General features: G+C 40.6%; 1 long non-coding RNA gene across 2 annotated transcripts in view, besides 2 other annotated features; it reads left to right on the top strand.

Moving 5' to 3' along the window:
* Positions 1-16,252, top strand: part of LOC101927947 (uncharacterized) — a 469,997-nt gene that overhangs the window by 184,322 nt on the left and 269,423 nt on the right. For both annotated transcript variants that reach the window (XR_007058336.1, XR_007058335.1), the window contains one exon: positions 14,281-14,335. This is a non-coding gene — a long non-coding RNA (uncharacterized LOC101927947). The remainder of the gene's footprint in view (positions 1-14,280; positions 14,336-16,252) is intronic.
* Positions 10,188-10,709: an enhancer, noted in NCBI's record as "H3K4me1 hESC enhancer chr4:154944484-154945005 (GRCh37/hg19 assembly coordinates)". NCBI's record gives its function as "activates a minimal SCP1, AML or CMV promoter by ChIP-STARR-seq in primed H9 embryonic stem cells {active_cell/tissue: H9 hESC(primed)}" and the evidence as "EXISTENCE:reporter gene assay evidence [ECO:0000049][PMID:30033119]".
* Positions 10,710-11,230: an enhancer, noted in NCBI's record as "H3K4me1 hESC enhancer chr4:154945006-154945526 (GRCh37/hg19 assembly coordinates)". NCBI's record gives its function as "activates a minimal SCP1, AML or CMV promoter by ChIP-STARR-seq in primed H9 embryonic stem cells {active_cell/tissue: H9 hESC(primed)}" and the evidence as "EXISTENCE:reporter gene assay evidence [ECO:0000049][PMID:30033119]".

Here is a 16,252-nt window from a genome sequence, read left to right on the forward strand (position 1 = left end):
CACACACACACAATTGTTTCTGATTCTCTGGAGAACCCTGACTAATACAGGTGGGTATTTTTATGATTATCCCACTTTACAGATGTGATAACTGGGCACAGAGATGTTAGGTAACTTGTCCAAGGTCATTATCAGTACCAGTATGTAGTGCAGTTGGGATTCTGTGTGACTCCTGAGTCTGTGCTCTTAACCACAAGATTAAATACATACTTATGTTCAGACTTATTTGTTCATTGGTCTGCCTCACATATCATTTTTGCTGGGTTATTTTATGTTTTCAGTTGTCAGTTTTGAGAAGACAGAATCTGCCCATCTGGCTAATGTACCATGGAGAGGCCTAGCCTAGACTTTTAAAAGGAAGTTTAGAAAAGTGTCTGATGAGATTGACTCCTGTGTATTCTTCTAAGATTTTTATAATTTTATCTGTTATATGTAAGCCTATGGTTCAGTTAGAGTTAATTTTTGTGTATGGTGTGAAGAAGGGGTCTAACCTCATTCTTTTGCATATGGCTATCTTCTTATCCCAGCATTATCTATTGTAGTGTAGGGTGCTACTGCCCAACCTCCTGTCTCTCTCTCATGCACTGTGGTTGGAACTCTATCCAGCTAAATGGTTCTCCCAGGTGTCTCCCCTGATGAAATCCTCTCATGTGAATCCCATCTTGGCATCTGCTTTCTCCAGGGAGCTGGATTAACAAGTGGGTTTATCAGCTGAAATTAGATTTCATTATATTAAGTATTCCTATAATAGTAACATTCAGTACATCCTTTAATACATGAAAAGTGATAAATTGCAACATTTGGTTATTGGGTCTGTCAATTCTTCTGTGCGTTTAACTTGTTGATTTTTTTTTCATTCTATATAAGGAATTTGGGCAATGCCCCAATTTTTTATCTTAAAAAATTTCTTTTTTAAGATAAAAAAGAAAAAAATAATTGGATGACACATAAATGGTGCTTATTGTAAAGGTAGTTAATATTCCAGATTGTCAACTCTTCAATTTTTTCCTTTCAATCTGATTATTGTCTCAAGACAAGTGAGTAAAATCCCATAATTTTACCAGTGGATAAAATTTTTGTCAGAATTTTAGGATTACATCTTGGAATCCCAAAAGACATATTTTGGAACAAAAGATGCTCAAAATTTTAGAAGAGTTGGATCTTTAAATGTCTACACATATGTGCTTGCTCTCTGTACATTGTACAGCACAGTGTAAACATGGGTCAAAACCATGTTCTTCTATTCCTAGGGAATCAATTTTCTATTCCTAGGGAAATGGCACTGCTCCAGGAAATGGAGCTGTCTGAGGAGACCCAAGCTGAGGGAGGGTCCTCCAGCTCCGAAGACAGCATCTCCCTCTCAGCCCTGTGGTACAGCCTCATCTCCGGGGTGGAAGTGTAGCAGCTGGTTTCCTAAGCTAAAAGTTCATGCTTGCTTGCTTTCATACATTAGCTTAATGGAATTGTGTTTCACATAAGCCTTTGATGTAGGCATTTTGTTTCTAAAAATCCATGAAAGTTTCGTGACTTCAGCAGCTTTGTTGGAAGTTTTCATCTTGGAGCAGTTTACATTTTCCACTGGCCTGATGTGGTGATTTTCACAGACATTTTATTGTATTTTCTGAGGTACATTCTCAGGACCAGCAGGGCAGGAGTGGGCATCCAGTAGCAGCAGACCTCTGTCTCCCTTTCTCTCTCTCCTCACAGACACACACACACGGCACACACACACACACACACACACACACACGTCTCCTATAAGCAGTTCACCACAGCACTATTTTCAGCCTTTCAGGCTATCAGGCACCAGAGTGTTTAAAGTTTTAATAGGCTTAGAGGTGACTCTAGAGTCCACCAACATCTGCATTCATCTGTAATTTATGGCTGCCTCTTATTTAGTTGGTTTAGTAAATTGTACCTAAGAGTATTCTTTGAGACTTGGCAGCCTGGTGTACAGTTTCACGATTCAGCTGTGTTTTTGCCAACTATTTGGCTTTTTTTTTTTCTCTTGGATGACATTCTCAAATACTTAATTTGGAGCTTTCGTCTGGAACACACTTTATCAGACACCTCTTGTGTGCCAAAGACCCCTTATATTCTGTTAAGACTAACTTTCCACAAGCTAACACATTTATTTCTAAATTGCTTTTAAAGTCACCATATTTCCAAATAGCAGAAGGTAGAGTGTGGTGAGTTTGGACTATGTCTTTCTTGTGGTCTCCCTGTCCCACACCCTCCACCCTTCTTCTCTGGATTTTAGTGAAGGGAAAATTCCTCTGTAAGTGGAGAGGTGAGGGTAATGGTGCCTAATCAAACCATAACATAAATGTCTGTTGCAAAAATAAAAAGGCTCACTTTCTTATGAGTTAGGTGAGGAAATGTTTTGGCCTTATTTCATTTGCTCAGCCTAACCATGCTCTAAAGATTAAATCAAGGCTATTATGGGTATAATTTATTTCTCTTCCAAGTCTGTCATCATGTGTGTAGATTTGGGGTATTATGTTTTCCCACTTTCAGGGGTAAGGTCCATATCTGGCAAACACAGATTTAAGACATTCTATGAAAAGTCCCTGAGGCAGTTTGTTTACAGTTTCACAGAATATGATTTTCTAGCTGAATCTGTGACTAACTGACTACTCCCTTTTCTTTTCAATAAGCATTACGGAGAAGTCAGCTTTCCAGAATTGAACACTCCATTGCGTTGTTGCCTCCAAACAAGAGAACGTGTAATTCATCTGCATCATGATGAATACACTGAAATCATGTAATCTGTTAGGAAAATGCAATCTTAAGAAAAAAAATTGTAATACAATTAAATCCTCCACTCACACCATAAATCTCTTAAGGTCTGAGGAGGAATTAGAGATTAAAATAAATCTTTTAACATTCTTTCTTATGAGGAGAATAATTAATTTAGCCACTTTAGCTGTTTGTGATGGTGGAATGGGAATTTAGGTTTTAAGCTTGAAATGCACACTTTCCTCCACATTTTCTTTGGGGTTTGGGTCTTCTTCATCCCATTACACTTGTGGGCTGACTGAGAAGTATCTGGGGCCACATGTGCAATCCACTCTGAAACCCACCTCTGTACTGTGTTGCTGCCTTGGGTGCCTGGCTGCTGCCTCTTGGGCTTGTCTCCTGGTGCAGAGATGCCTGATGTAAATATAGTGTGTGCACACTGGTGGCCCGGGCATGGACAACATGTGTCTAGGATCCTTGATTCTTTTTGAATCTGATTTCTCTTCCACATAAATCCTGAATGCCAGGAGTAGAGAAATTGTTATAACAGTATGGCAAAGGACATTCAAAGATACCTGAAGAAGGAATAAATGGAATAGGTACATTTTCCTTTTACTCAGGGACTCCAAATCCCTAAGCCCATGCAGAGGCTTCTGTGTATCAAATGTATATCATTTGTAGGACACGAGGTGCCAGAGTCAGCCTCCCTACCTGGTGTAGCCCCTCCCTTCACATCCACAAGCTATCTAGGGCAGGGGCATGCAATTGGGAGGCTGACCCCAATGGTATTTTTTTGTGGCTATAGCTAATGCAAACATGTAATTATTTTGTTAAAAATACTCACAAACCCTTTTTTCTGCTAGAAAGTAAGGAAGTGCTCAAAAGTTAGTGAAGACCTATGGAAAGGACATAGAAATCAGCTTAAAGAGGTTCCTACTGGCCAATGTGGGTCAATTTAAGCATAATAATAAATTGTCATAATGGATCATAACACATTACATAAAATATAAATCTATGGATTCTGATTGGCAAAAGTAAAAAATAAATGGAATAGATTTTAGAGATCTACTAGATCTATAGTTATAAAGCCTATAGTTAACAATGTTGTGTTGTATTCTATACTTAAAAATTTGCTAAGGGAGTAGATCTTATGGTCAGTGCTCTTACCACAAAAGAAAAAAATCTTAAACAAAATAAAGGGGCAGAAGGAACTTTTGGAGGTGGTGGGTAAGTTTATGGCTTTGATTGTGGTCATGGTCACGTCAGTGTATACTTAACTCCGAACTCATTCAGTTGTGTACATTAAATAGGTACAGCTTGTTGTATGTCAATCATACCTCAAAAAATGGTCTTAGAAAAACAAAAACAACATAAATGATCCCTGGATTACCTTATAAATTACAATTGTTAGGACAAAAAATAGGAAAAGGAAAAGCACAATAAGCATGTAAATCGCCAAAAAACAGATATACATAAATGAAAATAAAATGCTAATAATAATTATAGAATCTGTAATAATAAAAATAATAAAATAGAATAACATGCCGTAACTATAGAAGGAATGATGGACTTAGAAAATCAACAATGGTTGCTAAAACAAGTGAGTGAAAGTTTGATGAGAAACAAGATGCATTCGTGATCTCAGTGTCTCCTTTCAAATTACTTATTAATTACACAGGGAAAAATAATTACAGTGGAGAAATCTGGTAAATAGCACCTTATCCAAGTGATAAAAGTCAATTATCACTCAAAATGAAGCAAACTGGTAGCATGTGTCTCCTGATATGAAGGGCATGGTATCACTCTGTGACATTTCTGCCAAAAAAATGCATAATCTGAATCTAATCATGAAGAAACAGCCATCAAGGCCAAATTGAGGAACATCTATAAAGTAACTGGCCTGTAATCTTCCAGATTGAAAAAGTCAACAAAAGCAAAGGCTAAGGAAATGTTTCTGATTGAAGGAGACTAAGGAGGCATGACCACCAAATGCAATGTGTCTTCCTGGATGGAATCCTGGACTGGAAAACAATTGGCTCTACAGTATATTTTGGGGACTTCTGACAAACATTGAAAATGGACTGTAGATTTGATAATAGATTTGCAACAAAATTAAATATCCTGATTTTTAAAATTATGTTGCAGTTATATAAGGAAATGTCCTTGGTTTCTAAGATATACACACAAAAGTATTAAGGGGTAAAGGCACATGATAACTACAAGTTGCTCTCAAGTGGTTCAAAAAATAATATATACACACATATGTCTATATACATATATAAACATACATAGAGATATGTATACATGCACATGTATACACATGTAAACATACATAGAGCTGTGCATACATGCACATAGAGTTATGTATACATGCACATCACTATGTATGTTTATATATGGAGAGATTATATATATATATTTATATATGAAGAGAGAGAGAGAAAATGACAATGGAAATAGGACAAAATAGGATAAAATAAACAACTGATAACTCCTGGAGTAAAGGGTATACTGGGTAGACCTTGTACCATTTTTGTAACCTCTCTGTATGTTTGACATCATTTCAAAGTAAAAAAGTGACAAAAAACATTCATAAGATTAAACTTGGTTAAACTTGATATCACCAAACACTTGGGAAACTCAATTATTATTCCATACTTGTGTTCTACATGACCATACTGGCTATTCTTGTCTCTGTCTGCTTAGCAATTATAGACAGAGTGCAGATTCATTTCCTCAAATCATAGGTATTTAATTTTGTTGCAATTCTATTATCCTCAGTCTGTTTTCACTGTTTGTCAAATGTTCCCAAAATAAAAATAAGTAAAACAAAAGGAAGCATCCTTGACAGGTTTGGTCATTCTCAGTCCCAGCAGCGAGGAAGAAGGCCCCTAGCTCAGGGGAGGGAAAGGGGAGGGACACCCTAACTCCAGGCAGGGTGTCGAACACAGATGGCAGAGAGGAGGCGATGGGCACCCTCTGGTGGTCTGTGGGGTTTTGAGAAGTGTTGGGTCTAACTTGCCTGGGCAGGGGAGGCACAGAAATCATGGCAGGGGGTTGCAATAGCAACCACAGAAGCTGTACACTCTCCAGAGAGGACGTGAGGGGTGTTTATCTACAGTGCTAGCTGGGTGCTGTTTTGGCAAAGGTGAACAGGCATTCACCAGGCAATGTCACACATGGACACATGACCCATTCTTGCAGATGTTGCCTCTAAAACCAGTCACACTTAAACAGTATTTGTGCCATAATTCAAACAGCTGTTTCACAAAATTACATTATCTTACTTAAAATTTAGCACCTATAGGAATCACTTAATTTGGGGGTTAATCTACTGATCAAAGAGAATGTGCATAGCTAAAATGTAATATTAGTTTGGCCTTAGGCCATGCAATACAAGATTTTCTGATGTTTTCACAACATATTAGTCTCTTATTTTTGTTGAGCAGAAACAAGAATCACGGTCTAGATCATTGTCAATAGGTCAGTTGCTAATATTGTAATCAGTTTAAGTCAGAGTGAACATCAGCTGTAATCAATTGTTGGAGCGGGGGGCTGATTTGTAGCCCAGGGAACAGGAATGTGAGGGAGTATTTTGGGTATCAAGAGATTTTCAAGTGTTCTTGAAAAATAGCTAGTAAATTTCACTTCCTGAAATATACTAATGTTTTTCTAGTTTGCTTCCTTTCACAAGGGATTCAAAGTGATTTACAATAAGACAATGTTAGGTATCTTGGCAGTTAATAATAATAATAGCAGTTTCTCTTTGTCGAGCTCCCAGTATATAGCAGGCACTATGTTATATTGTTTAATTATCTCGGTCACCCTAAGAGATAGGATCATTTTATGAAGAGGATTCAAATCCAGTGCTCTCTGTTTGTCAACCCATCGACACTTAACTATGTGCAGGGCAGCCCACTAGAAACAAGTCATGGAGAAACCCACTGGTGGAGCCCAGAGACTTCTTCTGCACATTAGAACTGTGTCCACTTACTTACCTATGGGAGTGACTTTGATACAGAGCTCATTCGCTGCAGGTTTCCTGCTGCAGACTTACTCCCTATTTAACTGTCATATCATGCATGGAGATTCATTTTATTTTGGCAAGAGCAGTGCATTACAACACATAAATAAGCGTTTCTTTTCTTTTCCCTTGGTGTGCAAACATTACACTGCAAAGTCATCAACTAATCCTGCCATTTCCCAAATACATTTTTTTTTCTTTGAGGCGGAATTTTGCTCTTGTTGCCCAGGCTGGAGTGCAATGGCGCAATCTCAGCTCACTGCAATCTCCGCCTTCCCGGTTCAAGCGATTCTGCTGCCTTAGCCTCCCGAGTAGCTGGGATTACAGGCATGTGCCACCACATCCAGCTAATTTTGTATTTTTAGTAGGGACGGGTTTTCTCCATGTTGGTCAGGCTGGTCTCAAACTCCCGACCTCAGGTAATCTGCCTGCCACGGCCTCCCAAAGTGCTGGGATTACAGGCATGAGCCACTGCACCCGGCCCCAAAATACATTTTTAAATAAACATATAACCTTCAAATCCTGATGGACAGACACTGTAGAAGTAAAAAGTGGGAAATTTAGACAGTAAGTAATTGAAATGGAAGAAAAAATGAAAATCACAGTGTATTAGTTTCCAAGGGCTGCCAGAACAAAGTACCATGTACTTCTAACAACAGAAGTATACCCTTACAGTTCTGGCGGCTAGAAGTCTACACTCAAGGTATGGGCAGGGCCATGTTCTCTCTGAAGGCTCCAGGATCCTTCCTTGCTTCTTTTTGCTTCTCATGTTTTTAGAAAATCCTTGGCATTCCTTGGCTTGTAGATGATCACTCCAGTGTCTGCTTCTGCCTTCATGTGGGCTTCTTTCTTTTATGTCTGTGCATCTACATTTTCCTCTCATTATAAGAGCACTAGTCATTGGATTAAGGCCCATCCCAATCCAGTATGTCCTCACCTTAATGAGATTACATCTGCAGAACCCCTATTTCAAATGAGGTCACATTCACAGGTACCAGGGGTTCAGTCTTCAACATAGTTTTTGAGGGAATACAGTTCAACCCACGACACAATCATATATATATATATATATATATATATTTTTTTTTTTTTTTTTTTTTGAGACGGAGTCTCACTCTGTCACCCAGGCTGGAGTGCAGCGGCACAATCTCGGCTCACTGCAAACTCCACGTCCCAGATTCAAGCAATTCTCCTGCCTCAGCCTCCTGAGTAGCTGGGATTAAAGACGTGTGCCACCACACCTGGCTAATGTTTTTGTATTTTTAGGAGAGACGGGATTTCACCATGTTGGTCAGGCTGGTCTCGAACTCCTGACCTCATGATCCACCCACCTCAGCCTCCCAAAGTGCTGGGATTACAAGCGTGAGCCACAGTGCCCAACTCACACAATCCAATATTTTAACAGAGAAAAAATATGACCCAAGTTGTATTTAGAGAAAATAGGACCTAAATCCTGGAGAGCAACGACTGCCATTGGTATGCTCTCCATTCATATTTTGGCACCTGCAGTTCAGTCTTTTCTTTGCTTGCTCTGAATTGTAGGTGAGGCAAGGATAAAGATTCTGTTGACCTGAGACTGAAAGCAATAACCAAGACTGTACTGGCTCAATGATCACTGCTACATACTTGGTTTTCAAAAAATATAAGGCATACCTTTAGGCGACAAAACACGTAGCCTTCGGTCAAGTCACTACATACAGCAGCTCCATGTTCCTGGGGTTAGGACTGGAAAGAACAGTCAAGGAGACAAACTTGTAACTGATCAAATCACCTAACCTGATTATTATGTCAAATTCCAAAACTGATAAGAAAAAGAAAATCCACTTGGGTACCTAACTCCCTGATTTGGCTCCCTACTGTGCTTATATTAATATCATAACTGCTGGGTCTTCATAAATCTATACTGAAAAGACATATCTTTTGGTTATGCCTGGGCAGTATAAAAAAACTGAACATTTTCAAGTTCATTACCAAACCCATGACTGAATTGCTGAATTGTTGATGCAACCCTTTTTGCAGTAATTGAATCAAATAGGCTATTCAATTACATGTTTGGCATTTGATTTAGGGATAGTCTAAACTCCCCATTTTGTTTTCTGTTTTCATAACATACTAGTCTCTTATATTTGGGAAATGTTTCCTGATGTTCAATGGATGCACTAGAGAATAAAAATCTAATGCCACCTACAAATAAATCTGTGACAAACTGTTTATTCAGAGGAAATATTTCAGGGACTGACATGAAGCTGACAAATACAGTGTCAATATTTTACTGTAGAGTCTTTTTTAATATATTGAAAACATTCAAACCCAAATGTCAAGGAAACAATTTTACTCTGACTCAAGGGCCAAGGCTTATATTTTAATGTAGTTACTGTTGAATGTTGGTAAATAACTCTCATTTTACATAAGGATTGGCTTGGATCAGTTGGGAAAACTCCCCTAACTGCTGCACTGGGCAGCGAATGGTAACTTAATTTATCTTTTGGAAGTTCAACAACTCCCCCTTGTTATTAGAGGAGCTAGCTCTAACAATGTGTGGGGTGCAGGACCATTGGAATTCTGGGCTGGTTTAGATTAAGGGGCTTCCTTTCTTTGTGTTCTTAGAGAGCCTGTTGGAGAACATCTAATTTTTCTCTGTCACTCACGTCAACACAAGTAGAAAACCTGTCAGAGGTTAAGCCAATCAGTCTCACCTTGAAGAAGAGTTTTTGTGGAATGTTTAATTTTGGGGGTGTGAAAGAGGAAAGGGATTAGCATGTTCTCAAGCAGCCTCAGCAAGAGACTATGTACCCGGGGAGAGTCTCCAGGAAGTGTCCTCAGAAGCAAAGAGCGAGAGCTGGGAGCCAATGAGGGCGGCAGGAGAATGGGGAAAACCCTATACCACCAGGGAGCCAAGTGGTTGTGGCTTGATGTGTCCTGCATCGTACTTTTTGACTTTTTCCAGAAAAAGCTGGCAATGAGAATAGAAGAATTGCAAACAATGTAGCAGGCCCTTGCCAAGATTTAAATACAGAAGAAACATTCAAAAGGACGGTATCAAATTATCTGCAAAGATGAAGAAAGTAATGACTTACGTTCTCCATCCTCTGGCTGGGTGACTCACCAAAGTGGAAAATGAAGCACTTGGAGATTAAAGGTACCCCCAGAAAGAGGGGGAAAGGGATGGGCTCTGGAGAAGCCAATCCAGTTACAAGTTAACATGCCACAGGAACATCTGTGATGGAAGGTGGCAGCTAAATGCTTCGTGTCTCTTTGTGTTCTCCAGAATCTTCAAGTAAGAAAGTCCAGCCCTGCCTCAGCATTCTTCATCTGGACCACAGACGTGTTAAAAATCACCTACTGCGTGCAGGGTATCATGTGAGGATATGCAGGTGATAATTGTTGTGCATGCACACTTAGTTAGAACACAGTGAAAATAGGTGCCCCTGACCACTCTACTTAAAAAGGCTGCTCTCTGTAGTCTCTATTTTTGTAATGGTCATATTGATATATAATTCACACATTATACAATCTATCCACTTGTATTTTGTTATATGTATGTGTTAACTTCTTTAAAGTACAGGCTCCATGAAGATAACAACCAGGTGTCTTTTGTTCATCAGTGGACACCCAGCAGCTATCATAACGCACAATGCAGCCACTCAGCAATGATGCGGAATGGGGAAGGAAAGTGCTGGGAAGAGAAGGGCGTGGTCCCTTTAAATGATAGGGAAGCGGGGAAGAGCATGGTCCCTGGCTAGGGCTCCAGCCCTGGGCCTGTGCCCATGGACCTAGGTGAAAACAGGCATTTTTGTTTTCCTGCCCAAATGTTGCATTTCCCAAGACCACCCTGGCCTGCCACTCCCCCATCCTGTGCCTATAAAATCCCTGAGACGCTAGCAGCCAGACACACAGGAGGCTGGACGTGGAGAGGAGCATTTCAGCAGAGGCACACGTGGGCGGCTGGACATTGAGAGGAACGCACCGACAGGCACCAGCACACCAGCAGGTCACCGACTGGCAGAACGACGTGGAGTTTGGCCGGGGCAGTTGGAGGAGAGCCCGGGCGCCAAGCAGCCCGACTCCAGGGGAAAACCATCTCTCTTCTGGCTCCCCCATCTGCTGAGAGCTACTTCCACTCAATAAAACCTTGCGCTCATTCTCCAAGCCCACGTGTGATCTGATTCTTCCCGTACACCAAGGCAAGAACCCCGGGATACAGAAAGCCCTCTGTTCTTGTGATAAGGCAGGGGGGTCTAACTGAGCTATCACAAGCCACCTACGATGGCTAAACTAAAAGAGCACCCTGTAATACATGCCCACTGGGGCTTCAGCTGTAAACATTCAGCCCTAGACACTGCCCCCACTGCCGATCTGTATGCTCCCCCTAGAGGTTTGAGCAGCAGGGCACTGAAGAAGTGAGCCACACCCCCATCACGTGCCCTGCGAGGGGAACACGGGAACTTTTGCCATTTCAGTAACAATATATTTTTAGTAAATTCATAATTAATGCATAGACAAGAACAAGATGTCTAAGGCTCAGAAATTGGCTTTAATAAACCTCACATTCTTGTGTTTTCCTCCAAAATTATAGGCAATGTGTTTTAAACAGATGGGGCCTTACTGTGCAGCCCAGGCTGAACTCCAAGCCCTGGGCTCATGGAATCTTTCCACTTCAGCTTCCCGCAGAGCTGGGCCCATAGGCCCTTGCTGCCATGACCGGCTAGCAGGCCATTTTAAAAATTAAGAGGTAACAAAGAAAGAAGAAAGCCCCGGCCAGGCGCGGTGGTTCACACCTGTAATCTCAGCACTTTGGGAGCCCAAGGTGGGTGGATCACTTGAGGTCAGGAGTTCGAGACCAGCCTGGGCAACATGGCAAAACCCCGTCTCTACTAAAAATACAAAAATTAGCCAGGTGTGGTAGTGGCGGCTGTAATCCCAGCTACTTGGGAGGCTGAGGCAGGAGAGTCACTTGAACCTGGGAGACAGGGGTTGCAGTGAGCCAAGATCGTGCCATTGCACTCCAGTCTGGGTGGCAGAGTAAGTGAGATTCTGTAAAAACAACAACAACAAAAAACTAACCTAAAAAAAAGTCCCTATTTGGTAGGAGGAAAACAATATGGACCTCTCATTCTCTCAACCACTTCTCACTTTCTCATGTGCTACAGTTTGACCCCAAATCTGAACAGAGGGGACTTTGGTGGGAAAGCCTCTCACCCTCTTTGTATGCTCAGGAAAGCAGAAGACGTCAGATCTTTGTCTCAGAAGGGGTTTGATTTTCTGTACTTTTACTCTTCATGGTTCAGTTTGAATCAATTCAACTCAGCAAGGAATCCCTGAGTGAGGCTTATGCTAAGGCCATGAGGAAAACAAAAGTATGAGATGCCTCCTGGTCTTTCTAGCTTGCTGTCTCAGTGGGACAGCAAAACATATGTCCCTGAACTAGAGTCAAAGAAAAGGCAATGAGACTTAGAGCCAAGCACTCAGGTCAGACTTGATGCAGAAGGAATTCAGGGAAGGAAGAGAGAATGGTGCTTTGGAAGGTCAGGAAATGCTGTGCTGAGGAGACGGGGCTTGGGCAGCATCTGGGAAAGCAAAGCAAAGATGACAAGGCCTATGCTGCATTCAGGGGACCCTGGGGGCACTGGCCCTGCTGCAGTGGAGGGGCCAGGCTGGGGTCGGTGAGAGGGGCATTGGGACGGGTGCTGGAGTTCTGTGTGCTCGTGCTGAGGGAGAGGAGTTGCAGAAACCCAAAGGCTTTTTTTTTTTTTACTTCTACCTCTGTAGGAACCCCATTCTTCTCTCCCTTCTTTCAGCAATGCTCCTACCAGGCTGTTTTGTTGTTGTTTGTGTTTTTTTGTGAGACAGAGTCTGTCTTCGTCACCCAGGCTGGAATGCATTGGCGCAATCTCGGCTCACTGCAACCTCTGGCTCCTGGGTTCAAGCAATTCTCCTGCCTCAGCCTCCCGAGTAGCTGGGAATACAGGTGCCCGCCACCACACCCGGCTGATTTTTGTATTTTTAGTAGAGACGGGGTTTCACCATGTTGCCCAGGCTGGTCTCGAACTCCTGACCTCTACCACGCCTGGCTAATTTTTGTATTTTTAGTAGAGATGGGGTTTTGCCATGTTGCCCAGCCTTGGCCTCCCAAAGTGCTGGGATTACAGGCATGAGCCACTGCCCCCGGCTGCTTTGTTGTTTTTGTTTTGTCCCTTCTATTACGGGGGAGAGAGGAAGAGCCTCGCCCGCGGAGGGAGAGGCATTTCTATGGAGCAAAGTTTGTAAATCATCTAAATCAGTCGCATTCCAGAAAGAAACAGCGATAGGTCCTGTCTCCTCCCGCCACGAGAAGGAAACAATCCCATAAGCACTCCGTCATGGGCTTGGCACAAGCCTATCATTTGCATTAAACATCTAAAGCCATTATTGAGTAGCTCTATGCATACCCTTTAACATTATGCTTTCTTCTCAATCATAAAGCCATTTTGCTCCTTTGGTTAAGGCAAATAAATATAAGAATCATCATTATTATCAATAAAGGGTACTAGTGTCACTATTTTAAAAGAGAGAAAGTGACAGATTTCATGACAGCATCAGCGGAAGTCTGTGGAAAGATTCAAATCTCAAGGGAGCACTGAATTAGCTTCATGCACCCCATGGATTCTCACTATGTCTACCTTGGTGGGCACAGAGAATGTATAGTGAATATGGATAAAAAATAGAGTTGGTTTTCTTTTCCCAGAAACAACTTGTCATAATATCTAAATCGCTTAATATTTTGAATTTGCAAAATGAGGTTCTCTAGATCCTAATGCGAGCTTCTTTCTTTAAGTAGTTTATTCCCCCTTTCTCTGTAGAAATCTTCATTTACCTTTTCCTCGCTGACTTTTAAACGTGTGATAAAAATCTAACAGGGAGAAGGAGTTGTGGGCACTTAGCTCAACAAAAACTGTTTAAGATGACTTTTTCTTCTTAATCCTAGAGCTTTTTTTCTCGTTTGGGTTTAGCAAAGATGAGAGTAGTGCTGTGCAGATGGTAAGTATAGAAGCTTTTGAATAAAAGCTGGTCATGGTTAGCCCTCAGACTGTAGCTCTAAGATGCTTTAAGAATGTGTTCTGAGCCCTTCGAGAGCTGTGAAATGAATATGGCCATTTATGAGGCAGTAATAAGAACCTTCAGTGATAGTTTGACTCAGAAGCTAATCTTAAGGGTTGTGAGTTTTTATCAATCATTCATCCTTTTCCTGAACATGTGGCTTAAAACAACCTCTTCCTTGGATGAATCCTCCATGTTCTATTTTTCTTCTCATTATCTGTCTGTTGTTGTTGTTGTTTTTGTTGTTGTCATTCCTACTGTTCATTTCCTCTTTCACTGCAACTTTTGTATTTGGTTCATCTTTACCTTCTTATTTTCATGATTTCTCTGACTGGCAATCACTCCTTAGAAAGCTTCACAAATCATGTCAAGCTGTCACCATCTCCTCCTTATTCTGTTCCTTTTGCTACTTCTCACTCATTTTCTTTTCTTCTTTTCAGTTTTGTAGGCTCCTACCAGTGAAAGCCTCCTCACAACTCTCTTCTTCTCCCCAAGGTAAGTAACTGCTTTTTCTTCTTCCATGCTTTCTTTCATTCCAGAGCCATTCTCTCTGCATAACCTCTATTGATGAGCTTCGTTTGCTGCTGTTTTCTTACCCTCAACCACCTCCTCCCTCAGCCACAGAAGTACAATCCATTGTTCTTTATCTCTACCCTGTCCTTCTAGGATTTCTACCACAAAATAAGGCTGTTTTATTATGCCATTCTACCCCTCACTTAGACTATTTTAGATATATTATTTAAGCGGAATCGTGTAGTGGTAGTCTTTCTGTGTCTGGCTTATTTCACTTAGCATAATGTCCTCCAGGTTCATTCATGTTGTAGTGTTGAGTATATTTGATATACAAAAATACTTCACATATTTAATGTATATAATTTGCTGAGTTTGGACATAGGCATACACCCATCATACCATCACTGAAATCAAAGTTATATATATATATATATATATACACACACATCACCTCCCAAAATTTTCTTGTGTCCCTTTGCTTTGTCTGTGGGGGTATGTGTGTGGTAAAAATGCTTAACATGAGATCTACCCTCTTAAAACATTTTTAAGTGCACAGAATTGTACTGTTAACTACAGGTACTACATTGTACAACAGACTTGTAGATCTTATTCATTTTGCATAACTTGAAATTTTATACCCGTTGAACAGCAACTCCCTATTTCCCCCTTCCCTGAGCCCCTGAACAACCATTTTACTCTCAGCTTCTATGACTTTGACAATTTTAGATATATCATTTCAGTGGAATCATACAGTATTCATCGTTCGTGTCTGGTTTATTTCACTTAGCATAATGTCTTCCTGGTTGATCCATGTTGTAGCATATGGCAGGATTTCCTTCTTTTATAAAGGCTAAATAATATTCCATTTTATGAATATACCACATATTCTTTACTCACTCATCTGTTGATGGACATTTGGGTTGACTCCACATCTTGGCTATTGTGAATTATGCTGCAATGAATCTAGGAGTGCAAATATCTCTTTGAGATCCTGATTTCAGATTTTGGAGATATATACCCAGGAGTGAAAAGCTTCTGCACAGCAAGGAAAACTGTCAACAGGCTGAGAAGGAAACCCAAAGAATGGGAGAAAATATTTGAAAACCATATATCTGATAACGGGTTAGTCTCTGAAATATATAAGGAACTTCCTCAACAAAATAGCAAAAAAAAAAAAAAAAAAAAAAAAAAAAAAAAAGAAGAAAGAAAGAAAGAAAGAAAATAGAGGAGAAAACCCACCAAAATCCAGATAACCAGTTTTTAAAATGGATAAAGGATTTGAATAGACATTTCCCAAAGAAGAGATACAAATAGCTAACAGGTATATGAAAAGGTGCTCAACCTCAATAATCATTAAGGAAATGCAAATCAAAACTGAAATGAGATATCCCCTCACACCTGTTAGGATTTTAGAACCCTTGTCCACTGTTGGTGGGAATGTAAAATGGCATAGCCACTCTGAAAAACAGTATGAAGTTTCCTTAAAAAATTAAAAATAGAACTATTATATGATCTAAAGCAGACCTTCTGAATATGGATCCAGAACTTTCCAGAGGAACCACTGTCAGTGAGGGCATTGCATTCCTCACCAAAAACTCATCCTTGGAGAAGGCATAGCTATCACCTGCTTTTCAAACCAAACCAAAGATTCAACAACCACAAAACTGCACATTTTACTCAACTGGTAAATTTGTAAAGCTAATCTCCACCATGGGAACTTTGAATCTCAAGGGACCTCAGTCATCGTTCATTTAATCCAGGTGTTTGTGAACTTTTTCTTTTTTAAGTCAAAATCCCTTTTTGATCAAAGAAAATCTTACAAAATGAAGAAGTTTGAAGTCCGATTAAAATAGAACTGCCTTGGCTTGCTCTTCTGTGCTTATCCTATAGCCCCACCTC

The sequence above is a fragment of the Homo sapiens genome, chromosome 4 (assembly GCF_000001405.40).
Source record: "Homo sapiens chromosome 4, GRCh38.p14 Primary Assembly".
NCBI lineage: Eukaryota > Metazoa > Chordata > Mammalia > Primates > Hominidae > Homo > Homo sapiens.